Source organism: Homo sapiens, chromosome 1 (genome assembly GCF_000001405.40).
Source record: "Homo sapiens chromosome 1, GRCh38.p14 Primary Assembly".
Classification (NCBI taxonomy): domain Eukaryota; kingdom Metazoa; phylum Chordata; class Mammalia; order Primates; family Hominidae; genus Homo; species Homo sapiens.
Window position 1 is genome coordinate 244,428,709 of NC_000001.11, and position 25,767 is coordinate 244,454,475.

Here is a 25,767-nt window from a genome sequence, read left to right on the forward strand (position 1 = left end):
AATCAATAAAATGGATACCAGGAATAAAAGAGGGACATTACTGAAGACTAAAAAAGTTACCAATAATTTCATAAGTTAGATGAACACATTTCTTTAGAAAACATAAATATCTAAAACTGACACAAGAAACAGAAAAATCTGAATATCCCGATATCTATTAAAGAAATAAAATTCATAACATTCATGGAATTCATAAAAACTTCCTCACAAAGATTTTCTATAAAACATTTAAAGAAGAAATATTACCAACCTCACACATAACTTTCAGAAAAATAGAAGGCACTAAAACTGAAACAGACAACAAAACTAAAGAAAACTACAGAGCAGTATTTGTCAGGATAAAAAACAGTACATCTTGACCAAGTACAGCACTTAAATTAGCTGTTGGGTGTATACATATATGAATAAAATAAATAAAATTCTTTCCTTTGTGGACACAACCTGTGTAAGGTGTTTTACTGATTGGGGAACTAATGACCGGAAAGGAAATCACTTGCCAGAGGATCCATAATCAAGATTTCGATCCAGATCCCTCCATTTCAAAGCCTATAGTTTTTTCCATTGTACTACGCTCCATATCACCCAGCACACTTTTATACAGAATCTCATATTATGGAAAATTTTTTAAATCCTTGGAAATAAATGAACATTCTGAAGCATCTATATGCCAGATCCTGTATTCAGTTCTGAAATGAGAATTCTAATGCCTTAAATTACAATGGAGCTTACAGAACTGTCCGTTCAGTGCCATGGTGACAGCGGGAGTCTCTAAAGCAAAGATCGAAGTGGTTTCACAGCAACGATTCTCAGACAATTTTCCAATTAGTTATTTGATTTTTTAATGATACTATTTATTCCTTTTCACTATTATAGAATTGACTATACTAAAATACATGTTTCTGGCCGGGCCGTGGCTCACGCCTGTAATTGGGAGGCCAGGTCAGGTGGATCATTTGAGGTCAGGAGTTCAAGACCAGCCTGGCCAACATGGTAAAACCCTGTCTCTACTAAAAACACAAAAAAATAAGCCGGGCATGGTGGGACATGCCTGTAATCCCAGCTACTCAGGAGGCTGAGGCACGAGAATCGCTTGAACCCAGGAGGTGGAGGTTGTAGTGAACCAAGATCATGCCATTGCACTCCCGCCTGGGTGACAGAATGAGACCCTGTCTCAAAAAAATAATAAAATAAAATAAAATAAAAAATATGTTTCTTATAAGACTTTTTAAGGGCCCTGGGAAGTGAACCTTACAGGCTTTTAGTGATATACGTTTTAAAGCATTAACACACCCATTATGACACATATGACCACTAACACCTACATTTCAGTCTGCGCTTATCTTCTACAGGCTCAGTCCTCTGTCAGAAATACTTTCCTTTAAGGTCATACACTTATGGGAAAAAATAATTAAAGAAATATAACTATAAATAAAATAATAATATTCATTTACATTTATTATGGTTAAACCACATTACTTTCCTTTTACTCTAGGCCTTTTGACCCCTTCCCATTACTACTTTGTTGTTTTGTTTTGGTGGTCTAAAGTAATTAAGTAACTTGCTTAACCTCTATGTTGTACCAAGGATGGAACTGTTAAGTGACAGACCCAAAGCAATTGCAATGAAGAAGGAAGATGGAGAATCCAGACAGGAACAGGGATATGTCTCTTAACACTAACCTCTTTCCAACAGGCTGATATCATCAGCGTATATTTATATCTGCACATAGCCCAATTATCTGATTATATACACTGATGCTATACGTTATTCAAACGGCAGGTGTTAGGGATTATTCTGTTTTGCAATCCTAAATTGCGGTATGCTGATTAAGATACTGAATTTCACAGAGCAGACAACATAACAAAAAGCCATTGGAAAGTTCTGAAGATAAGCAGTGGTTTTCATTATCTAATGCAGCGCCTTGCTTTATCCACAACAGGAACAATGGATACCAAAAAGCTACACATAAAATCATGAAGGTAAAAGAAGATAAAGATGACTATTGGTAACAGAATAAATAAAGCTAATGAGTAGTAAGTGTAAGCAAACAAAAATGCTACAAAAGTACTTCACAAAAACATATTTTTCCTTATATAACTAGGAGACTGCCAGTAAGAAAGAATATTAGTTGGGCCGGATGCAGTGGCTCACGCCTGTAATCCCAGCACTTTGGGCGGCCAAGGTAGGCAGGTCACCTAAGGTCAGGAGTTCAAGACCAGCCTGACCAACAAGTGAAACCCTGTCTCCACTAAAAATACAAAAATTAGCTGGGCATGGTAGCACACCTGTAATCCCAGATACTCAGGAGGCTGAGGCAGAAGAATCACTTGAACCCGGGAGGCAGAGGTTGCAGTGAGCTGAGATCACCCCACTGCACTCCAGCCTGGGTGACAAAGTGAGACTCTGTCTAAAAAAAAAAGAATATTAGTAATACTCTATTGCTTCCTATATTATAGCACAATAGTGATATATAAGTTTAAAATTCAAGTTCTAAGATAAGCTAACAAACAAAATATAAATATTTTTAAAATCAGAAGCTTAAAATAGGCAACAAAAATGACAACCTCCTTCTTCTGAAAACCAAAACAAAACCCTTTTGTCCTTATCCAAATTGCATGTTATCATTTGGGACTGCAAAGCTTCTTTGTTTCCTTTGTTTTTTGTCTTGGTTATGCATCTATGCCATTAATAATTCTGGAAATAAGGTGTCTTTTAAATAAAAGTTTTACTGATAATATTTTCATAGTTTAAGTATAATCAGGTGAAATATAAACTACTCACAAGCTTACTTTATGTTAAATACAGAAGTATTCCACATTTTATCCACTTACACTAACAAACAGCTATCAAAGTCTTTGTTTTCAAGGATAACCAGTCTACTAATAGACAACATACAGGACAACAAATATTAACATAAAACTGTTTTTCAGTAAAAACAAAAAATTGTTCTTTTCAGACTTTACAGATTAAGAAGCCTGTGGCAAACAATGTAATGAAGAGGCCAGTTTCATATAGAAACTGTATGTTAATCCAATAGAGTTTACTTCAAATAAGTTATTTTATTGGGTTACTAAGATTATACATAGGATTCAAGTCTGTGGCTGTTATCTGGAGGGACCGTTATTTGATTTCTGTGCTTGGCTGAGAAATACTGTAAGTATCTTGATGAGGCTGCCTTTTAAATAGAGGCCAGTGTTAAAACTAGAGCAGCTACTGCCACAGGACACACGCATACTTAAATACAATTTAAGAGTGCAGATCAATCACAGAGAAGTTTCCTACGTGGTTTTTACTTATTTCTTTTCTGGTTATTGTCTCTTAAATCATGTCACTGCTAATTAACAACTCCATTGGTTCTGAAAGAGAAAAATAACAGAGAAGAAAATCCCAAATTTATTGGTAGTGGTTGAAATTTAGGTTAGTCTGAATAAAATCTGAATCACTTAAAAAGCAATAACTACTACATTTTAGGCACAAAGAGTCACTCTATCTGCAAAACGGTACACTTACTTTTACAAGAATATTACGTATACAAATAAATGTTCTTTGCATTTTGATATGGCTTATTTTTAAATAGAATTAGAGATGTCTTATGAAATACTGCTTGTATTATAAATTTGCTTAGCTAACCTTTTTTTCAAACAGGTAAATTTCAGCCTAGACTGTTAAAAAAGAAAAAAATTAGTAAGTATTTTTTGTATTTAGAACTCAATTACTACAATCCATCCTACTTACGCTAAATAAAAATAAAAGACAAAATTAGTTACTAAATACTTTCATTTGATAAATTTCAGATAAAAAGATAGTTACAAATAAATGCAATATATCCACCTTACCAATATGAGCTCTGTCAGATATAATAAGCCTTTTTTCCCAGCCTTCTAGTCCTAGAAAGGGGAAAAAGATATATTTAATTGAATATTTTGTATAGCAGTTTTAAAATCTTAATTTCTTTTTTTTTTTTTTTTTTTTTGAGACAGAGTCTCGCTCTGTCACCCAGGCTGGAGTGCAGTGGTGTGATCTCGGCTCACTGCAAGCTCCACCTCCCGGGTTCACTGCCATTCTCCTGCCTCAGCCTCCCAAGTAGTTGGGACTACAGGCACCCGCCACCACACCTGGCTAATTTTTTTTTTGTAATTTTAGTAGAGACTGGGTTTCACCGTGTTAGCCAGGATGGTCTCGATCTCCTGACCTTGTGATCCACCCACCTCAGCCTAAGATCTTAATTTCTTTAGAAATATGTCTAGGCCAGGCGTGGTGGCTAACACCTGTAATCCCAACACTGTGGGAGGCCAAGGCAGGTGGATCACTTGAGGCCAGGGGTTCGAGACCAGCCTGGTCAACATGGTAAAACCCCGTCTCTACTAAAAATACGAAATTAGCTGGGTGTGGTGGTGGGTGCATCTAATCCCAGCTACTCGGGTAGCTGTGGCACGAGAATCACTTGAACCCAGGAGGCAGAGGTTGCAGTAAGCCAAGATTGTGCCACTACACTCCAGTGTATGTGGCGGAGCGAGATGCTGTCTCACAAAAAAGGAAACACAATCTCTAAAAGTGTTTTTACTGAAGCAATCAAGTTTGTATCTTTTCTTCTGTATAGGAAACATCATGTCTAACAAGAGTTTTCTCACATGTCATTCATTCCATACATAAATTCACTCACATGCTATCTTTCCAAATGTCTTGCTCTAAAAGCTCCAAATTCAAACCAGTCACATCCAAATAAAATACTTCTAGGAATCCAAAAGGCAAATGGTAGAAAAACATCATGCTGGGGAGGTTAGGTACCTGGCAGGGAGAAATTTGCCAGAAGGGAGTTAATTTTAGGAATGGCATCCTTTCCCAAAAGATAGTTATAACAAATATGGGCTGGGTGCGGTGGCTTACGCCTGTAATCCCAGCACTTTGGGAGGCCAAGGCGGGCGGATCACCTGAGGTCAGGAGATCGAGACCATCCTGACCAACATGGTGAAACCCCGTCTTTACTAAAAATACAAAAATTAGCTGGGTACGTGATGGCGGGCGCCTGTAATCCCAGCTACTCGGGAGGCTGAGGCAGGAGAATCACTTGAACCCGGGAGGCGGAGACTGCAGTGAGCCAAGATTGTGCCACTGCACTCCAGCCTGGCAACAGAGCAAGACTCCATCTTTAAAAAAAAAAAAAAAAAAAAAAAAGGTAAAGAAAATAAACTTTTTCATTAATTCTTCTAAAGTACTACTGTCAATTACTGTACTTACTACAGTGAATTGTGAGGTATATCTGTCCCCCCATTTAACTGTGGAAGACCTAGAGGAGGGGCTGTGAGCTTTCATAGCACAGGGCCTGTTATCCAGTAAGTGGTTTTAAAAATTACTTTTGGCTGAGAGCAGTGGCCTATAATCCTAGCACTTTGGGTGACCAAGGCAGGAGGATTGCTTGAGGCCTGGAGTTTGAGACCAGCCTGGGTGACACAGAAAGACCCCATCTCTACAAAAAAAAAAAAAAAAAATTAAAAAACCTAGTCAGGCATGGTGGCATGTGCCTACAGTCCCAGCTACTCGGGAGGCCGAAGCAGGAGGACTGCTTGAGCCCAGAAGGTAGAGGCTCACTACTGTGTTCACACCACTGCACTCCAGCATAGACGACAGAGCAAGACCATGTCTCCAAAAAAAAAAAAAGACGCTTGAATGAACAAATGAACCCAAATCGATGTTTTTCTTTAAAGACAATACTAAAGACAAATTGCTAAGCTGCAAACATTTCAAAACTAATCTTTAACAATGAAAAATTTGTTTTTCCCTGAAGATTTATTTTTAAAATATATTCCTTATAGATTAAGGAAGAGAACCTCCTCGGTAATGTGCTAAAAGGTAAACCTGGAATATTAAGCCTCCCCTTCTACGGTTGTTTTGACATACAAACATGTATTCTGAAGTTAGTTTAGGAGATATAATAAAGAAAATAGGACCAAGAAATTCAGTAAAGTAGATAAAGAGCAGGGTTGGATAGGCTAGAAGGAAAAAGGGAGTAGGACAAACTTATTAAAGGAGATGAGAGCAGAGAGCAGCATCAATATAAAAATCACAGACTAGGTCACAGGTAAAAACGCAGAAAGGAGAAAAGAGATGGTAGCAAAGACAGGGTTCTGTAGTGGTTAAGAACACCTGAAGACAGATTGCTACTTTTAAACCTGAACAGGGCGGGGCGCGGTGGCTCACATCTGTAATCCCAGCACCTTGGGAGGCCGAGGCAGGTGGATCACGAAGTCAGGAGTTTGAGACCATCCTGGCTAACACGGTGAAACCCCTTCTCTACTAAAAATACAAAAAATTAGCTGGGCATGGTGGCACGTGCCTATCGTCCCAGCTACTCAGAAAGCTGAGGCAGGAGAATCACTTGGACCCACGAAGCAGAAGGTGCAGTGAGCCAAGATCACGCCACTGCACTGCAGCCTGGGTGACAGAGAGAGACTCCGTCTCCAAAAAAAAAAAAAAAAAAAAAAAAAAAAACAAACCTGAACATACTATAACAGTAATTGAGTGTTTTAAATGTGAGCTAATTCAAGGGGAAACTAACTATACTAATGATTTTCCTCAATTATGTATTACAGGTTGAGTCTCCTTTATTCCAAATACCAGAATATTTCAGATTTCAGATTTTTTTTGGACTTTGGAATATCTGCATATAAATAATGAGATCTCTGGGGGGTGGGGCTCAAATATATACATGAAATTCATTTATGTTTCATATACACCTTACATATCAATTGAGGCAATTTTATACAATATTTTAAATAATTTTGTGCATGAAACGAAGTTTGTTTCCTCTTCCTCCTCCTTCTCTTCCTCCTTCATCCTCCTCCTCTACCTCTGTCCTTCTCTTCTTCCTCCTTCATCCTCCTCCACCTCTGTCCTTCTCTTCTTCCTCCTTCATCCTCCTCCTCTACCTCCATCCTTCTCTTCCTCCTCCATCCTCCTCTTCCTCCTCCATCTGTGGTTGTTTACCAACACCAACATTCTTGACTCTGAATTTATATGCTACTGATGAGTAATCATTTCCTTACACTTATTCACACACAAGTACTTAACAGTCAAAAATATGACATACCACCAATACAGTGGGAAAAATGTGTTCAGGGTAAGTAAGCAGTACAGCAGCAGCACCAGAGTATCTGTATCAGCTGGCAAACAGCAGCAACAACGAAGCAGGCTTCCAGTCTCCACCTGTATTCTATATTTCATTTATTACCACAGTTGGCACATCCAGCTAGTACACATGCCACTTTATTGCCCTCTGTGGGAACGCTGGTGTGGGGGAATCTGGGCGTGCATGGAAAAGATATATGAAAGCTGAAAGGGGAGAAGGCCTTTTTTCCCCTGGAAACACTGAATAAACTGTGTGCGTGCCTATGTTTGGACTGTGACTCGCTGCATGAGGTCGGGTATGGAACTTTCCACTTGTGGTGTCATGTCTGTGTTCAAAAAGTTTCAGATTTTGGGAGCATTTTGGATTTCAGATTTTTGTATTACGGATGTTTAACCTGTATTTGTATTATCAAATTCCCCTCACACCCTAATGAGATGGCCAAGGTTAATGTAAACACATCTCTAAAAATCCAAGAGATCAGGAAAGGCAAGAATCCAGGACTATTTATTTTAAGAAGATGGGCATGGATATATTGTATAAAAGCAGCATTTACTTCATTTAGAAGGAGGGACCTAAACGATTCCCCTTACATCTGTGTAGCATGGGAAAAAACAAAAATTCCCTTTTATCCCTGAGTTGTAGCAACGAAAGGAGAGCTCCAGATCCTCTAGAAAACAAGACTGACAGTGTGCAAACTCAGGAATTTCCTAGTTTTGTCACCCACATATTGTAATTCTAGCTATCTTAAGATAAAGTTTGTAGATGACTAATGTGTAAAAAAATCAGGACTTAATACAATGACATAAGATGTTGGTCTTCTGTTTAAAACACTGTTTATAATGAATAAAACTTAATAACTGACATTAAAAATTCGTCTATAATAGCCCGAAATTTTAAAGCATAAGACAAACATGTTGTTCGTCTGGCATAAGATCCTAATAAAACTTTACAAAGAACAACTGGTTACCAAGTAGACTCATTCTTTCATACCTTTTCCTTTTTGAACATTTTTCTCTGCTTCTTCAAACAATCCAGGTAGATGAATTACCACACCATTTCCTAAAGGAAAACCAACAAATCCCAACGGTAAACATCTATAACTCAGACATATGTAACTTAAAGGACATTCTGATTTACCACGGTGTTACCACAGAAATGATTCCAAGTTTTACACAGGAGTATAATTTAAATACATAATGGAACATAATATAGTGAATATAAAACACTAGAATTATACTCAATGAAGCTGAAAATTTCTTGAAAACAAAGTGAAATATGATTTTGAAGGAAACTAATTATGTAATTTTAAGCAAATGGAACATGGTCACAGTACATGCTAAATCAGTATCTTTCAAGTTGGGGAATCACACCCTATTAGTGGTCATAAATCAATTTAGTAGGTTGTGATAAGGATTTTTAAAAATTAAAAGGAGAGTAGAAAAGATCAGATTGCATCATTTATTGTAAGGGTTCAAAATAAATTCATGAACCTCTCATATTTCTTACTATGAGTCATGGTTGAAAGTATTTGTGGAAAAAAAAGTATTTGGAAAACTGATTCAATGATCTAATACTTCTTTACAGAATTAAGATTGTCAGTGAGCACAGATGAATGCAAAGTAATCATTCCAAAAAGTATTACTGTTAAAAGATCTTACAGTGACAAATAGCCAAAGTCATGTATATTCCAGAAGGTATCAAGGTCAAAATTAATAAGAGATCAATGAACCATCTGGTCAGTGAGAGATGAAAACAGTTTTGACAATAAAAAATAAACGCCATTATCAACTGGTGGGGGGGAATCTCCATGCAGTTCAGTTTATATACTTACCAATGAATGCAGTGACATTTGGATTAATTATTCCACTGGGTAAGAGATGAAAATCATATTCCACAGAATCCACAACAACTGTATGGCCAGCATTATTTCCTCCCTAAAATGTAAGATAGGGGAAAATTGAGCCTGATGATAAATACTACAAATAACCTATCTCCCTCCAAAGTGAATTAATGACCTCCTGCCAAAAGGTCAACTTAAGAGAGCCCAAATATTTACCACCTCTACTCATTTGTAAAAGGCTTTAAAATAGTTTGGCTGTCTCCTTTCCCCACTGTAGAATACTTGAGTGATTATCCTGAAAGAATATAGAAATTGGGGAATTCAGGTTTCTGAAAGACAGAAAATCATATTCCTTCTTAAAAGAGGGGAAAAAAAGTGAAAAAAATACATAGAGCAATTAGTCTGTCTTTGGCTATGGAGGATTATGGCAATCTAACCATGATATTCCATCTACACACACACAAAAAATCTCTTAAGATAGAGTAATCTATCCAGTTACCCTAACTTGATGTAAATATTCATAGAATTCCCATCATCCTAAGAGTGTGTCAAGCAACTCTGTGACCTGAAATTTGTATTCTTACATGGACTTAACAAGTATCTCCCCCAAATACTGGTTATCCTTGGCCTCTGATTTATAAACCAGTCTTGTAGGTTTGGTTAGTGACAGATCCCTAGAACCTGCTCATCTCTGGATAAAGTAATATCCTGGCTCAAGGAACTGCTAACACTGAGAATCATACTATAAACCCATGATTAAATTTCCATTCTATGAAGCTTATGCAGAAATAACAAAATGGAAAAAGTCAAATTACAAAAAGTAGGTACAAAGGAGACTAAATATTAAGTAACCAGATAACTTTTCTAAGTTTAAAAAACATGGAAGAAAACACAAGTTTTTACATTTATGTCAGCTGATTACACGTTTAAACTTCTATACAATATTAACACACTTTTAAAAGTATACTCGGGATGTATTTGCAACAAATAAAAACTTTAACAACATCCTTCTATAACATTAAAAAATACTAATCAAAACTATATTGCCTCAGAATCACTAGGCTGATCGTGAGGCTATTTTTTTCATTTTTCATTTTTGTTGCCACGTAGTATTACATACATTTATGTGTTGCATGAGATATTTTGATACAAGCATATGAGTAATAATTATATCCAGGTAAATATGGTATCTATCACCTCAAGCATTTATCCTTTCATTGTGTTACAATCTAATTATACTGAGTTATTTAAAAATGTATAATTACTGTTGACTGTAGTCCCCTGTTGTGCTGTCAAATACTAGATGTATTTTTATCTAACTATATTTGTATACCCATTAACCATCTCCCCACCCCATACCCCACTCTTACCACTACCTTTCCCAGCGTTTGGTAACCATCCTTCTACTCTCTATCTCCATGAGTTCCACTGTTTTAATTTTTAGCTCCCACAAGTTAAGTGGGAACATGTGAAGTTTGTCTTTCTGTGCTTGGCTTACTTCACGTAACATAATGACCTCCAGTTCCATCCACGTTGTTGCAAATGACAGGATTTCATTCTTTTTTTGGTTGAATAGTACTCCACTTTGTTTATGTGGAGTTTAATATATGCCATACATTAGTCTTCAAAGAGTTCCTTATCTGCCTGGGTAACGCTGCTAATTATTCAAGGCTCATGGGCTTTTTAGCTAGTAGGTAACGAATCCTGCCAGAACTGGGTCCTTCCCTTCAAGGTAGCAACTTCCTTTCTGGCCCAGGGTATGTCTAGAAATTTGCCCTGGAACTAGGGCCTGTGACGGGGAACTCAGGACTCCGCCCAGTGCCCTGCCCCTACTGTGGCTGGGATCCAAACTGCAAGACCAAATCCTCCTGACTCTTCCTTCTCCTCAAGTGGAGGGAAGGAGCCTCTCCTGGAGCTGCATGCTGTGCTGCCTGCGGTTGGGGGAAGAGGGGCACAAGCACTCCCTTAGCTACCTTGGCCGGTGTCTCACTAGGTCACATGCCCCCCAAGTCCACTGGCTCCAAGTCCAGCACAACACCAGGACTTGCCCAAGAACTGTAGTCTTTGTGGCCCAGACTATCTTCCAAATTTATTTAGGACCCCAGAGCACTTTAGCCTGTGCTGGCTAGGCTTGCTGGAACTCAGGTTCTCAATGCTAGGATGGGCAATTCCCCTCTGGCTAGGGCTGATCTAAACGCTCCTTCCGTGGGCACTGGCTGAGTTCTGCCCAGTGTTGCTTTCTACTGTGACAAGGGCAGCACTGAGTTCCAATGCAAAGTCCTATGATCACTGCATTCTCCTGCCTCGAAGCACACAGATTCTCTCTCAGCGCCCCATGGCTGCTGGGGGTGGGGAAGGGGTGGTATCAGCAATTCAAGATTGTCTTTCCTACCCTCTTCCATGCCTCTTTCAGTGATAGGAAGTTAAAGCCAGGTACTGTGATTGCTCACCTGATTTTCGGTTTTTATGAAGGTGCTTTTTTGTGTGGATAGTTATTAAATCTGGTGTTCCTGTAGGAGAACAATTGGTAAAGGGTTCTGTCTGACCATCTTGCCCCATTCTGCCCGATTCACAAGGTTATTTTTAACAAATTGAATGTTACAACTTTTACCAAATCATCCCAATTATGAGGTCACAAAAATGCTAGAAAAATAGGCCCTGCTAAAAAAAATCTTCAAAAAGCAAATACCTATTTACACGGTGTTTTGCACCGTATAAAGCAAAGAACTCTTTGAAGACTAATGTATGGCATATATTTTAAAAAACAACTTGGCAGTGTTGGGCTAAAATCTGTAAGACACACTTTGGAAAGGCACAGGCAGACGGAAACAGGGATGATGGGCAACACCTTCAAGTGATACCAAAAAGGGAACAGAGGCATTATTTTTTACTATTTATTTTTTTAATAAGAAATTCCCGCATATGATACAGACACCAAGTGGCACAGAACTATGCACAGTAAAATGTGAAGCCTTTCTCATACCCTTGCTGTAAGACAACCAGTTAGCACAAGTTTTTGGTCCTTCCTGAGGTGATTTATGCATATAAAACATATATACTGTTTTATTTTACATATACAATGGTAGCAAACTATATACATGTGGGCAGCTTGCGTACTTCCATAACCTTGCAAACAGAATCATCTCATTCTTTTAACAGTTGTATTTTACCCTTTTGTAAATGTATATATATCATAACTTATCATACTGGTCCCATAATGAGAGGCACTCAGATTGTTTCCCATCTTTTGCTATTATAAACAATCTTGCAATAAACTTCCTGGTATATATTATTACTTCACACTTGTGTAATTTTATCATCAATTCTGATAGAATCCTAGGACATATATTATACACCAAAAGAACATTAATTATCTTAACTTAGTCTTTTTTTTTTTTTTTTTAGACAGAGTCTTGCTCTGTCTCCCAGGCTGGAGTGCAATGGCGCGATCTCGGCCCACTGCAAACTCCGCCTCTCGGGTTCATGCCATTCTCCTGCCTCAGTCCCCCAAGTAGCTGGGACTACAGGCGCCTGCCGCCATGCCCGGCTAATTTTTTGTATTTTTAGTAGAGACGGGGTTTCACCATGTTAGCCAGGATGGTCTCGATCTCCTGACTTTGTGATCCGCCCGCCTCGGCCTTCCAAAGTGCTGGGATTACAGGCGTGAGCCACTGCGCCCGGCCAACTTAGTCTTTTAAAAATAACTCACAGGATAATTCTTACCTGTATTTCAGTTCCTCTTGTTAAAAATTACTAAGTTTAATGAATTTTTACTAAGTTGTTATAAAGTATTTGGTAATTTTGAGACAACAAATAAGGTATTATTATCAAAGTCAAACCAGGTTTTTTTTTAGAGATGGGGTCTCACTATAGCCCAAGCAGGCCTTGAATTCCTGGGCTCAAGCGATCCTCCTGTCTCAGCCTCCTGAGTCCCTGAGACCGCATGTGCATGTCACCCTGCCTAACTACAACCAGTTTATTTTTTTAAAACCAGTTTTTAGGCTGGGCACGGTGGCTCACACCTGTAATCCCAGCACTTTGGGAGGCTGAGGCGGGTAGGTCACAAGGTCAGGAGACTGAGACCATCCTAACCAACATAATGAAACCCCGTCTCTACTAAAAATACAAAAAATTAGCCAGGCGTGGTGGCACGTGCCTGTAGTCCCAGCTACTCGGGAGGCTGAGGCAGGAGAATGGCGTGAACCCAGGAGGCGGAGCTTGCAGTGAGCCGAGATCACGCCACTGCACTCCAGCCTGGGCCACAGAACAAGACTCTGTCTCAAACAAACAAACAAAAAGTTTTAAAAAATTCATCATTTGCTCAAGGTTAAAAATAAACTACTCTAATTTTTGGAGTAGACCCTTAAAGTAGGTCTCCTAATTTACACAAAATTACTTTTATAGCTATACCAATATAATCATTTGATGAATTATTATTTGACAATTATTACTGGTAGTGAATGACAATGTTCTTATTGTGTAACAAAAGCTTACTCTCTTAGCTAATATTTTACCAAGACAGATAGTAATGATGGAATTAACCATAATAAAGAGATGATGGTTGCTCTACACACACACACACACACACACACACAAATTTTTTAGGCAGATGGTTGTGATGGATGACTTTAGGGGGAAAAATTGGCTTAACTCCCTAAGTTTGTCCAAGTTTATAGGCAGCTCAGGCTGGAAAGTTCAGCAGTAAAAGACAAAGTCACATGGTGGTATAAAGTTTGCTCATTCAAATATTAGTTATTGAAAAATAGCAACATTTTTCAATAACCAGTATTACATTGATTATTATATGGTTTAAATATCATTTAAGTTGTTTCCGTATGGAAACATTGTTAAATATACCCAGAAACACCCGAGATTATCCTACGTGGGATTTAGGGGGAAATATCTAAGTGCTTATTTATATTTGGTCACTAGTGCTCTGTGAGGCAGTTGGGGTATAACTTTTAATCTTGAAACGCACACTACACAGAAGGGTCTTCAGGAGAACTGAGAAAGAGCTGCTCATAAGGAGTTTCTTGATGAGGTAATCTATATAGGAAGCAAGTTTTAGTATACTGTATTTTATAAAATGCAACAGATAAAGAAATTTGAAGTGCCCATTTGGATGTTAACCTAAAATATTCAGATTATGTAAATAGGCAAAATTCACCTTGGGAGCTCAGGCAATTGTCCTCAAACAGAGATTATACTGGTTCAAGGAGAGGTCACATATTAGCAGACAGTAAAACAAAGCATTTCAAATATGAGCACCATAACCAAAAACAGTTTCAAATACGAGCACCCCCTCAGTCTCCCACCTATGTATTAGAAGGGCAGATGGAGCTGCTCCTACATGGGCCCATGGGCAACTCTGTGTAATATGTGCCAGGATGAGCAACAGCAAGGATGTGTTTGATTCATCATGTTTCATGATTCTCCCAAGCAGCACTGGGGAGGCCAGATAGTACCAAACAAATGATGGGAGATATTTTGTTGTTGTTGTTCTACTTCTAACGGAAACATACAATTTCCTTCTCAATCCAAATTTTCCACAAACCAAACTTGGTAAGTTATCTCCCACAAATGTATTAGTCTTATAATCACATTAACAGTTACACTAACTACCTCCTGCTTCTTTGCCAAACTCCCGTAACACTTATGATCCCAGTCACTCTTGTAGCATTTAACAAATACTTTTCATTATCATAGCTGTATATTCTATATTACTTAACAAAAAAATAGAATATGTTCAATTAATAGTTATATAAACAAAGGGCTGTGGAATCTCAACGTTGTTTCTGGATCAATTATATCCAACAGGGAAAACATTTAGTAATAAATCTCAGAGATAATTTTTTGAACTTTGTTTTTCCTAGAAATAAGTCATATTTCTGAGTTGGTAAAATGCTTTTCTGAACGTACATTTTTGGTATCTGGCACAGTCAACCAAATGTCTGTCCATTTTTGTGTAGCCTTTATACAGTACAGATTTCAGACATCATCCTTGCATCTGAATATTAAAAACATTTGACATTGTTTTTTTCAGTCCGCACAACACCCCTATGAAGTAGGTGGTACTGACTATTCCACAGATGGGGAGGCCTAGGCACGGAAAGGTTTAGTGGCTCCTCACAAGCCACGTGGCAGGGAGGCGGAGTGGCAGAGTGGCGGAGCGGCTCTCCAGCCACGTGCTGACACCGCCTTCTCATTCACACTTCCATCAGTGCCACAACACTGCATGGCAGGCTTTCAGGTTGAGGCCAATTTTTAAACCATTTTACTTCTGAAATATACCCTACCCCCCACCAACACCCCAAGAAACAAAAAACAGCATGAGTCCACAAGTAGCTACGTGGCAGGTTTCTTTGAGGAAAAGCATAAGCTTATAATGCCTTATATGATGTTCTTCTTATATTAAATACCAAGAATAAATGCAGGTTAATTTTATTAAAGTGAACAATATATGAAAGAAAATTCAATTGCAGTCACAAAACATCCCCTAATATAGTATATATTTTACCAATTTTCTTTGACTGTTATTCTTACATTAAGATGAAATACAGGCCGGGCGCGGTGGCTCACGCCTGTAATCCCAGCACTTTGGGAGGCCGAGGCGGGCGGATCACGAGGTCAGGAGATCGAGACCATCCCGGCTAAAACGGTGAAACCCCGTCTCTACTAAAAATACAAAAAATTAGCCGGGCGTAGTGGCGGGCGCCTGTAGTCCCAGCTACTTGGGAGGCTGAGGCAGGAGAATGGCGTGAACCCGGGAGGCGGAGCTTGCAGTGAGCCGAGATCCCGCCACTGCACTCCAGCCTGGGCGACAGAGCGAGACTCCATCTCAAAAAAAAAAAAAAAAAAAAAAGATGAAATACAAAGAAAATATTAAATAAGCTTCTTAATTACCAGGAAAAAATGTATCTCATCACAGAGCTATGAAATAAACTGGAACATCATGATAGAAACAAAAAGCAGGACTAAAATTCTATGTTCTCAAAGCTGAAAAGCAAAGTTTCTGATGTATGCTTTTAGTTTTTACCATCAATACATAGCTAATTTTCATTATTTTAATTAAGGTTAAAATAATAAAAACCAATTTAACTCTATTTTTTGTTCCAGAAAAGCACTACAGGTCAATAGCACATTAGAGTTTTGGAAAACAATTTATAAATGAGAACAATCCAGAACAAATGCTTCCTCATACCTTATTTTCCTATACAAAATTAACTCCAGGTTAGTTATAGCTTTTGTATGCTCAGTCCCCCTCCTTTTCCCCTACTTTGCAAATCATAGGAATCATCCCCCCAGCCACAGCAAACTGATCCAGGCAGGGAAACATGTTCCAACCTGAGCCAGTCAGCTCCTCTCCCTTGGGAATCTGAATTTGAGTACTGAGAAGGAAAGCAATAGCAGTCTGAGATGCCTGTCACCTACGGGAAGCATCCTAAAGAAAAAGGTTGCCAGTTCTAGCTGCTGAAATTCCAGGAGCAGGCTTCATCTCAGGCCACCATCCTGCTCTTCCTTTAAACAAATCCCCATTTTGCTTGAGATAGTTTCTTTCCATTGCTTGCAAACAAAGAACACAAATGATTCACAAAAAAAACTTACTACAACATAATATACACCTTGCTGAATTTACATCTTGTACTAGTGAAACTGAATATTAAAATGATTGCTAGATATTAATAACATTTTATGCTGTCAAGGACAATACTTTAAAGCATTACTGCAGGATAGAGGAATGATATAATAGTATTTAGTTATTCTGTAACTGTTCTCAGTTTTTCCATGCATTCCTTTTCTTCCTAATTTGATGTTTAGTTTAAGGAAGTCGGAAGACAAGTGTTTTGAATTTTCTTTCCATGACTCCTCAGAACCAGAGGCTGTCAAATCCAATTATAGAATAAAATTTTGGATCAGGAAATGCTAATATGTGTAAGCTTCTAGCTAAGAAGCTCCAAAGGTCCAGGGGAGGTTAAAAAAAAAAAAAGTTTGGAAAGGAATTAAATGATATTAGTTTACAAAAGTGACTCTTGATTCTTAACTTGGTTTCACTACTGGGCCTTCTCCTTCCCTAAATCACTCCTTTCTTCGCTCCCCCAAGTGCATTTCTGCTGTGGTAGAGAGATGAAGGCAGTGAATGATCCTCAGTGTTGTAAACCTGAAACAATGGTCTCTTTTCCAGAATACAGGCCCAAGTGTCAAGGGCTACCAATTTCATGCACAAAGCCCAGAGGCATTTTTCAGGCTAGTTAGGCCTCTGTGTCTTATCTTTGTCCTTTTGCTTTGAATATATGAACAACCTACTGTAATCACAGAGCTCAAAATGAACATCAGGAAGTCAGTGGCCACTATGGATTACAGGAGAGAGCAGCAGTGTCTCAGATCCCATGCCCCTGAACTATTTCAGCAACCAAAAAAGGGTTGCTATTTTTTTGTCTAATCTTCAAACTTCTTAAGAGCCTAAAAATCTTTGGAGTCAATGCTTATTATCTATGCTGCTTTCAGGGTAAAGATTGTAAGATCTGTGTCTCCTCCTTTCCAGATGAAACATGTTACCATTCACCAAAACTAAAGCACTTATCAATCCACAGCAATAAAGCAGTTATAAATGATGATTGTTCTTTCATGAAAGCATTCACATAACTGCAATTAGCTTATGATTCCAAAGTAGAGCAGGTTAAGTTACTACCAGCAAGTTGATCAAATTTAACTATGTAGCAGTAACCAGACACACTAGACAGCAAGAGAAAAAAATACACAGGGTATCTGAATTTCTTTCTAGCAAAGATATCCCAGCTCAGTTATCCATTAAAGGTTTAAAGGTATCCACTTTACTTTGCATGATTATAGTTACCTTCTAGTTTCATACACACATAAATGTCACAAATGATGAAAACCTCAGATACCTTATATTTTAGACCTAACATTACTATTATGAAATAACTTCTCACAATGAAAGTGGAAAGGGGCCTTGCCTGAGAGAATCTTAGGTTCCTAAGAAGCTTTAGACTCTGGGTACCAAACTCTAATATTCTTTCACACTCACCAAACCAGGGTCATAGATGAGGCCATAAGACATCCAACCAAAAATGTATAAACCAACGATGTCACACAGCTCTTTGTAAATGTTTGATAAAAATTCACCTAATTAAATTCATGAAAATATTTTCTTAAAAACACATTGAAATTAAACTACAGATTTCAAGTCAAAAAAGTTTTCTCAATAATAAAATTCTTCCTTTAAAAAAGATGTTAAAACTTAATATAGACAAAAATCTCATTTTTAGAAATCTCATGGAGCCTCTTTTCAAAAAAGAATTTTGTTATATGAATCAAATATAAATTTTGGTTCAATGTAAAGAACTATCCCATCCCAGAGCCAGATTAGCCACAGGAACTCCCCTTCATTTATTGTTCTTTTCATTGCTTTCAGCAGGCAATACTGAATGTTGATGTTTCTGTTGCTAAAAGTATTACAATAGTCACCAATTTTAATTTATCAATATGTAGCTCATCCACACTAATCTTTGGTGTCAACATCTGACACAGTCCCTGAGAGATAAGATAGCTGGATTCGTATCCAGTTACAGAAAGAAAGCTATTAAGTAAATATCAATTTATTGGTTCATTCTAGATTTGCTCTAGGCAACAGTTTTTCTTAGAGATACTTGTAAACATCCAACAAACCCATCCATTCCCACCAAAGTTAAAGAAACAGAATAATTTTGATCAGACACCACTGAGATGGTCTCATACACGTTTAAAAACTCATGCCTCAAAAGTAGAGCTGACAGGATACTATATTTACTAACTGCAATAGGACATCCTCATTGACCGAACATTGAGATTTACTGTCCTCAGCGGGGAATAACTAGTTACTAGAACCCCACATGGTATTCAGTCGAAATATGTTGAGGAGATACATGAAAAAGATATAAATATCAGTTACCTATTTTCTCCTAAAAACAAGAGATAAGATTTTAATATAAACAAAGACTTTGAATGGTACAATGTAAAAAATTCCAGCTGAAAAACTAAATAACAAATGTTAATCCAAGGAATGCTAGGAATTCCGCCTTAAATGTATGCCACCAGTCAATTAAATTGTCCAGAGAGATGTTAAAACAATTACAAGAAAGGGTTACTATTATTTATTTCAAATAAATTTCCAGGGGTGATCTTGCCACCCAGAATACATTGGTTGAGTATTTCCCTTCTGCTTCATATAGTATTAGGTGCTACAGAATAAGAAAAGGAAGAAGTCTCCCTTTTGAGAAAATTTACATTATAGTAGAGAAAGCACAGTAACCAAACAGAACAAGATTTAACCAAGTATAGTATAACAGACATTGGTAAATACTTATATACTAGGGAAATGCTATAAATGATATAAAAAGAATCAGAAAAATGGAAATAGCAATTGTTATAAACCTGGAAGAATGGCTTACCTTAAATGCTAATTACCTACTATCCTTAAAATTATGGGAAGTAGTCTGGCAGATCATTTTAGCTGTACAAGGTCAAGGCATTAAATAATACTAACGTTATTTTCTTTTAAATTATCTTTCACCTTTTCTATTTCAAGGAGAAAGTTTTAGTTTGCTGCTGATATGTCTTTTATGCTTCTTTAACACTAATAGTGGTTTCAGATCTTCAGCAGATACTTGTATCTAGCTAGAAAATAGTAATATTTTTTCAGTATGTTTATTTTTATAGCAAGCTTTTATAAACATATATCAAGTGATGGGGTGTGCTTTCCCTTATGACTAACTTTAGTATTTTCTCTTTTTATTGACTTTGAAGCCTTGGAGAGAATACACACGGAACACTGCTCTAGCCTTTCCCGATCACAGGCAACTTCATGTGTGTCATTATAACCAAGACCACCGAAGTTACTTTCCTCAAGAACAATAAATAAGTAAGCCTTTGCTTAAAGCCTGGTATAAACTACTATAGTTAAGAAGTTTCTGTAGCTTCTACTCAGCAAAATACAGAAAACAAAGCACAGTATTTTACTTTGAGAGAACTGGGGAAAAAACAGTATTAGGCTTCCTTTTGTGATGCCAGAAAGGGACTTTCTTGGTCCCATACTTTAACCTCTTGAGAAACGTATTAGACTAGTACCTTTCTCCATCCCGACCTTCTCAACACTTTTGCTTACACAGCAGTTGTCCCCCAGATTGTGAGCTCCTTGTGGGCACAATCCCTGCCTTTTTCAGATTTTTGACTCCCAGGCTAAGTGATCCCCTGCAGATACTCAATGTTTACTAGATGAATGACCTGTACCCAGGGTTGGGCCTCTATTTAATTCTTCTCTCTTCTTCTTAAAATAAATATTGATTTAAAATTAAGGCAGCAGTAGTGGTTGTCCTTTGATGCAAGTCCTACATATTTATGGATCTGGGGAACCTACCAAGTTATAAATAACTCCCCATAAATCCTGAATCTGAACAACACAGGCCTTAAGCGCTGTTAAGAGTGAAAACGCCACTAGGTTTGCATCTATTGTTTCCAAAAAGGCATTTTATACATTAAAATTTATCATTAAATGCAATGCCAGTTTTTCTTTTTAAAACTATATTTTATGTTGGGAGAAAGTCCTTATGAGTCTACTGGTGAAATACGGATACATTATGTGTACATCACTTCTGGAGAAACAGTACTGAATAAAATTTGAACTCATGACATAAATATGGCAGAATATATTAAACTCTAACAAAGGACATATTTTCACTAACACACAAAACTTAAGACATCAAACAAGGCAATCCAAGCTCACAATGTCTTACTGTTGATTTTTTCCAGCTCTCTATACACACTCACTAAGAACTTCAACATTCCAATTTTATAACCTAGGGGAACTTCATTAAGTAGATGCCAGCTTACTAGGGCTAACCAAATAATACAAAGTTACCAAGGTAAATCACAAAAGAGATAATGCTTAAATCTATTCATTACTCATCTATTTTTTGCTAACAAGACTAATAAAGAATCCTAATGATACACTTTTAAAAAGCACTAAAAGAACATAAGGATTCTATAAGGAAGGTAGTTAAGTCAAAAATACACAGGTGAGGGAAGTCTGCCCAACAAGGCCCCTCATTTGTTTCTCCACTATCTTCAGCTAACATTTTAAAGCCAAACTTAGTTCCTTCTCAATCACTTCTCTAGCCTTTCCAAGGGCATCAGATCAGGTTGGTCCATGACTTCAAGACTACTTTCTCGGTAACATTAGTAACACCTTCTCCAAGCTACAAACTACTTCTAATATTTCTCCATAGAATATTAAAATTGAGGATCCTTTAGAATAAATACCATAATGGTTGTGTTCTCCAAACCTTCTTACAACCCATAGTGTAGCTCAACCTGAGCTATTTCCATATTAACGAGATGTCAAGATGTCAGTGAAGGAGACACACAGGCCTCAGCCTCTCTCCCGCTGTCGACAGCAAGAAAGCTCGGTATTCGGATACGTCTTCCCCACAGCATGACCAGATCTGAATGTAAGACAAAAGGTAGGTAAAGGCTGGATTTCTGGAGTATTTCCTAAGAAAGTGCGGGGCAGGAATTTAATGGCAACACCCTGAAGATTGCTAAGGTACAAAGTGTGTTGCCAGAGGGGTGGAGAAATAATAGGCTGGAAGGGAAGGAGGGAGAGGTGGTAGTGACAGTTTCCTAAGAGGCAATTAGTGCAACAGCTATTTCAGAATGGGCAGGGTGGATTTCTAAATGAAAACAAAACAAAACGAAACAAGGTAAATCAGAGAATATTTGCAGTATTTGCATTTAGCTTTTTAACATACCTGTGATTTCATTGTTTCTGCATGCTCAAAATGGTATTCAAGGGGGCCTATAACTTACTAGAACATATACAGCATGGCACCATCATATCATGCCATGCATGTTCAAAAACAAATATTCTTGCAACCTAAACAGATAGCAGTTAACTTCAAATATTACATTATGCTTTGTTTTGAAAGTGGTTATTGCTCATCTGCTTAGAATTTTGAAACTGGAGAGAGTTATCTGAGAGCCTTTACAAAGGCCTTACCCTGTATGCTGCGTCAAAGGAAACGACAAATAGGAAGAAAGGTTACACTGAAAACCACGTGTCTCCCGTTAGAAGTACATTACCACCTCGTTTTCCGAAAGTTCACTTTCGATGTCACCTTAACAATGCAAATATTTATTTCCAAATACTCAATTTGACATCCATGTATTTACTTCCCTCACTTTTTTTGAACAGAGAAGGGATTCCTTCCTCTGGGACCAACTAGTAAAAGTAATTTCTCCTTAACTTTCATGTATGGAGCACACTGTAAAAACAAAAACAAAAACAAGAAACTCAGGGCCCTAAAACAACAGTCCAAAGCCCAGAGGTGGGTGGGTTTGGATGTCAACAAAGTGGACCAGAGGAAGCAAAGCACTGCATGCCACGGTCCTGCAGATGGGGGATCGGTGAGTCTGATTTCAGGACGTTTCGAAACAATCCACTCCCACTCCGCCGCCCTGGGCGGGGCGGGGGGGCGGTGATGGGGGGTTCTGCCGTCGCGCCGGGTCTCCGCCCGCAGTCGGAAGAGTTGGGAGCAGGCCTCGGGCGGTAGCTCCTCAAACTCGGACCGCATCCCACCTCCACCCCGGCCTCAGTCCCGGCGCTGAGCACCACTCGCCAGACGCAAAACTGCAACTGCCAGGCATCGCGCATCTCTCAAAGGCTCCCCGCCAGCCCACCTCTTCCTCCAGGGCCACCCCAAGTTTCACCCGACGCTCCAGGTCAGGGGTCCCCGACCTCCCGCCATTTCTCCACGTAGCCGCAGCTCAGGACAGGAGGAGAGAGCCTCAAGGTGACACCTCATTTTGGCCAGTGGATCCGGGTTCTGGGTCCGAGTTCCCGGGCACCAGGAGCCAGGCAGCCCGAGCTCCCGGGCCCGGCTTCCCATGAGAGGCCCCGTCGCCTCACCTGGCAGCGGCACACGATGTCGGCGTCCTGCGCCAGCAGGTCCACCACCTTCCCTTTGCCTTCGTCGCCCCACTGCGCACCGAGCACCACCGTCACCCGGTTTCCTCCGGGCCGCGCCCTGGGGCGGCCGCAATCGCCGTTGGGCAGGGAGGATGCCGCCGGGTAGGTCTCGGCGAACGCCATGGCTCCAGTGACGCGAGGAGAGCCCGAAGGAGAGGCGGCCGGCGAGGAGTGAGCGAACTGAACTGCTCTGCGGCCGCCAGCCACATGCAGAGGAAGAAGGAGCCAGAGGCCGGCCCCGCCCCCGCCCCGCCGGGCCGCCACCCTCCAGCCAGTCCCCGCCCCGCTCTCCGCCACAGCCCGCTCAAGGGGGTACCATGACTGCCCCGCGCAGGCCGGCCTCGGCAGCACCGCCCGCAGGAAGAGGCCCTGGTGGCGGCAACGGCCGCCACCCCGGACCGAGGCCACGCCCCTTCCGCGGCCTGGCGCGCCACTCCCGTGCAAACCTCGCGAGCGGAAAAGGTCAGGGGCGGGGCTTCGAGAGCGCTTCTCCTTCAGCACCCCGCCTACCCGCTCTACCTCTCGCTTTCAAACTGGAGAGGCGCGGAAGCGCGTGTGGAGCGTCGGACTACAAATCCCAGCATGCAACGCTCTGGGCTGCGGCGGTGTATTCTGGGGCCACTGTGTCTGCCATCTGCAGGTTTGTCTGGATTTGTCTTTATTAAGGAATGAATGTGTACAAAATACAAACTGTGGAATTTCGCAGTACAAACAGCATAAAATCGGAACGTGTAAGTGTAGAATTGGAAATTAAAAGTCCGGAAGTAACAGAGATGGGGACAGGGATCAAAAAAGACAAAATTCAAAAGTAAGGCAATAAGATAAAGGACATGAGACCTGAAATCAATAGATCAAATAAAGTCCTAATCCTCATTTTACATAGTAGTAACAAAGGCTCAGAGAGGAGGAGTGGATTACCTATGTCGCATATAGTACATATATGCAGATACCGTCATGCACTTCTTTATTTTTTAATCCCCACAACCATATAAGGTAGGTGATCCTCTATTATCCTTATTTTACAGGATTTAAAAGCTGGGTAACTTGCCCTAGTGAGGCTTGAATTGGTACTTCGATAATCTAAGTCCAGAGCCCATGTCCTTCCTGTAGATTCCACTGTCTCTCAGTTACATTTGTAACTAGATTCTGGTGTATACCTACTGTTCATCTAATGCCCTTTCGACACCAACACAAATTAACTATGATGTTTAATTCTGATAAAAGGTGCTTCGAAAAAAAGTGGGAATGGAATCACATTATATGTACCGTCTCCCAAATCGCCTGTACATACTGTATGTTCACTAATGGTCCCTAGAGTACACTTTAGTATTTTATTTCTAGTCAATGAGTTAAGTCAGGAACATTGAGAACCTGCTATTAACTAACTAAGTGTCCTGGGCACTGATAACATAGGAGAAATAAAGATACAATTCAGCCCTCAAGGATTCAAATTATTTGGTCTATTGATTAGTAAACAATTATAATACTATGTGATAATTGTTGTCTATCTTGGCCTTATTACAAGATCACAAACATTTTGGAAACAAGAATGCCATCTATTTCTTTCTAGTCAAATGCCCGAGGTAGTGTTGGGCAGATAGTAGATACTGAATAAGCACACCTTACTAGTCATTTCCATTCAATTTTTTAAAATCATTTATGGGAGACTGATTTGAGTAATAATAAAACTCTGGTTTCCTGCACAGCCAGCTCTACATGAATTACTCTTTCTCTATTGCCATTTGCCTGTCTTGATGAATTGGCTCTGTCTAGGCAGTGGACAAGGTGAACCCCTTGGGCGGTTACAAATTTGGGGGCTTGTCTGGCATTGCCTTTGTGGCTACCTACTCGTGGTTCAGTGGCCCCCCTCCAGCAATGGATCCAGAAGCCTGCCCAAGCGGCCACCCAGTTCTCTTGGACTGGGGGCTGACTCTGGTACTCTCTCTACTGGTGGGGTGCTGCCAACCCAGTGTGCATGGATTTAATTGCAATGGAGAAATAGCCCCGGGGAGACGTCCCTTAACTGTAACCCTATCACAGGGTGTCTGTCTGTAGCCCCATTGCAGGGCAGGGTGTCTGGATTGGTGAGTATCCTAGGTGCTGCCAACGCCTCCTTTCTCCCAACTGGTTCTGTAGCCCTATGGTGAGGTGTCTGTAGCCCCATTGCAGGGTGTCTGTTCGGCTCCTGGGGGGGTCTCATTTGGCTCTTTCTAACTAGTAGGAAGAGTCCAGGTTTGGGAGACTTCTCCTGAATCAGGAAGATTTCAAGGAGGTTTCTCAGAAGGAGAATAGGAGGATAGTTTGGAAGGGATACTCCCGGAGTTCTTGGTTAGGGATCTGATTGGGAACGCCTTCTGTCCTCTCGTCTTTGTGTGCGTTTGTATATGTGGAAGGGATCTCAGAAGAGGTTGCTGATGGAAGTCCAGCAGACCTAACTCAAAACCCTCCTTATTTGTCTGGTCACATTTGATGAGCCCTACAGAAGGCTCAACAGGCCTGTCTCGGGGTGACTATCTGCTCTTCGTCTTGCCCAGAGACCCCATTGTGAATTACCGTTCGGAGGTCATCCCTCCCCACCTGGAGTGGATCAAAGACAACAGGGACCAAAGAGAAAAAGTTTTTGAGCTTTGCCAGGCTGATATTGGGAGCTGAACGAGGTGGCTAATGTGTGTTTTGTTATGTGTGTTTTGCTGGGATGGAAAATGTTAATTCGGTTCCCCATGCAGCCCGCTGGGCAGCATCTTGCAAATTAAGAATCTCGTCTATGTTTCCATAAAACAG

The 25,767-nt window shown here is 39.7% G+C and overlaps 2 protein-coding genes across 19 annotated transcripts in view, besides 2 other annotated features; one reads left to right on the forward strand and one right to left on the reverse strand.

Moving 5' to 3' along the window:
* Positions 1–23,352, reverse strand: part of ADSS2 (adenylosuccinate synthase 2) — a 43,567-nt gene extending 20,215 nt beyond the window's left edge. The window contains exons 1-5 of one of the 5 annotated variants that reach the window (XM_047447581.1): positions 22,927–23,201; positions 21,282–22,282; positions 8,958–9,060; positions 8,117–8,185; positions 3,837–3,887 (exon numbers count right to left, since the gene is read on the reverse strand). In XM_047447581.1, coding sequence (XP_047303537.1) covers positions 3,837–3,887; positions 8,117–8,185; positions 8,958–9,060; positions 21,282–21,284 — 226 coding nt within the window. In that variant the 5' untranslated portion in view covers positions 21,285–22,282; positions 22,927–23,201. Of the gene's footprint in view, positions 1–1,322; positions 3,703–3,836; positions 3,888–8,116; positions 8,186–8,957; positions 9,061–21,281; positions 22,283–22,926 lie in introns of those variants that run through there. The other 4 variants (XM_047447585.1, NM_001365073.2, NM_001126.5 and 1 more) reach the window with 4 other exon arrangements.
* Positions 22,381–22,660: a silencer, noted in NCBI's record as "silent region_2013". NCBI's record gives its function as "represses an Ori minimal core promoter by ATAC-STARR-seq in GM12878 lymphoblastoid cells {active_cell/tissue: GM12878}" and the evidence as "EXISTENCE:reporter gene assay evidence [ECO:0000049][PMID:35858748]".
* Positions 22,534–25,767, forward strand: part of CATSPERE (catsper channel auxiliary subunit epsilon) — a 189,263-nt gene continuing 186,029 nt past the window's right edge. For 12 of the 14 annotated variants that reach the window (XR_001737095.2, XR_001737096.2, XR_001737099.2 and 9 more), the window contains exon 1: positions 22,534–23,626. Coding sequence is in view for 9 of the 14 variants with exons in the window: in XM_011544138.3 (XP_011542440.1) it covers positions 23,569–23,626 (58 nt within the window). In the remaining 5 variants the exon portion in view is untranslated. The remainder of the gene's footprint in view (positions 23,627–25,767) is intronic. The other 2 variants (XM_011544142.4, XM_017000946.3) reach the window with 1 other exon arrangement.
* Positions 23,101–23,590: a silencer, noted in NCBI's record as "silent region_2014". NCBI's record gives its function as "represses an Ori minimal core promoter by ATAC-STARR-seq in GM12878 lymphoblastoid cells {active_cell/tissue: GM12878}" and the evidence as "EXISTENCE:reporter gene assay evidence [ECO:0000049][PMID:35858748]".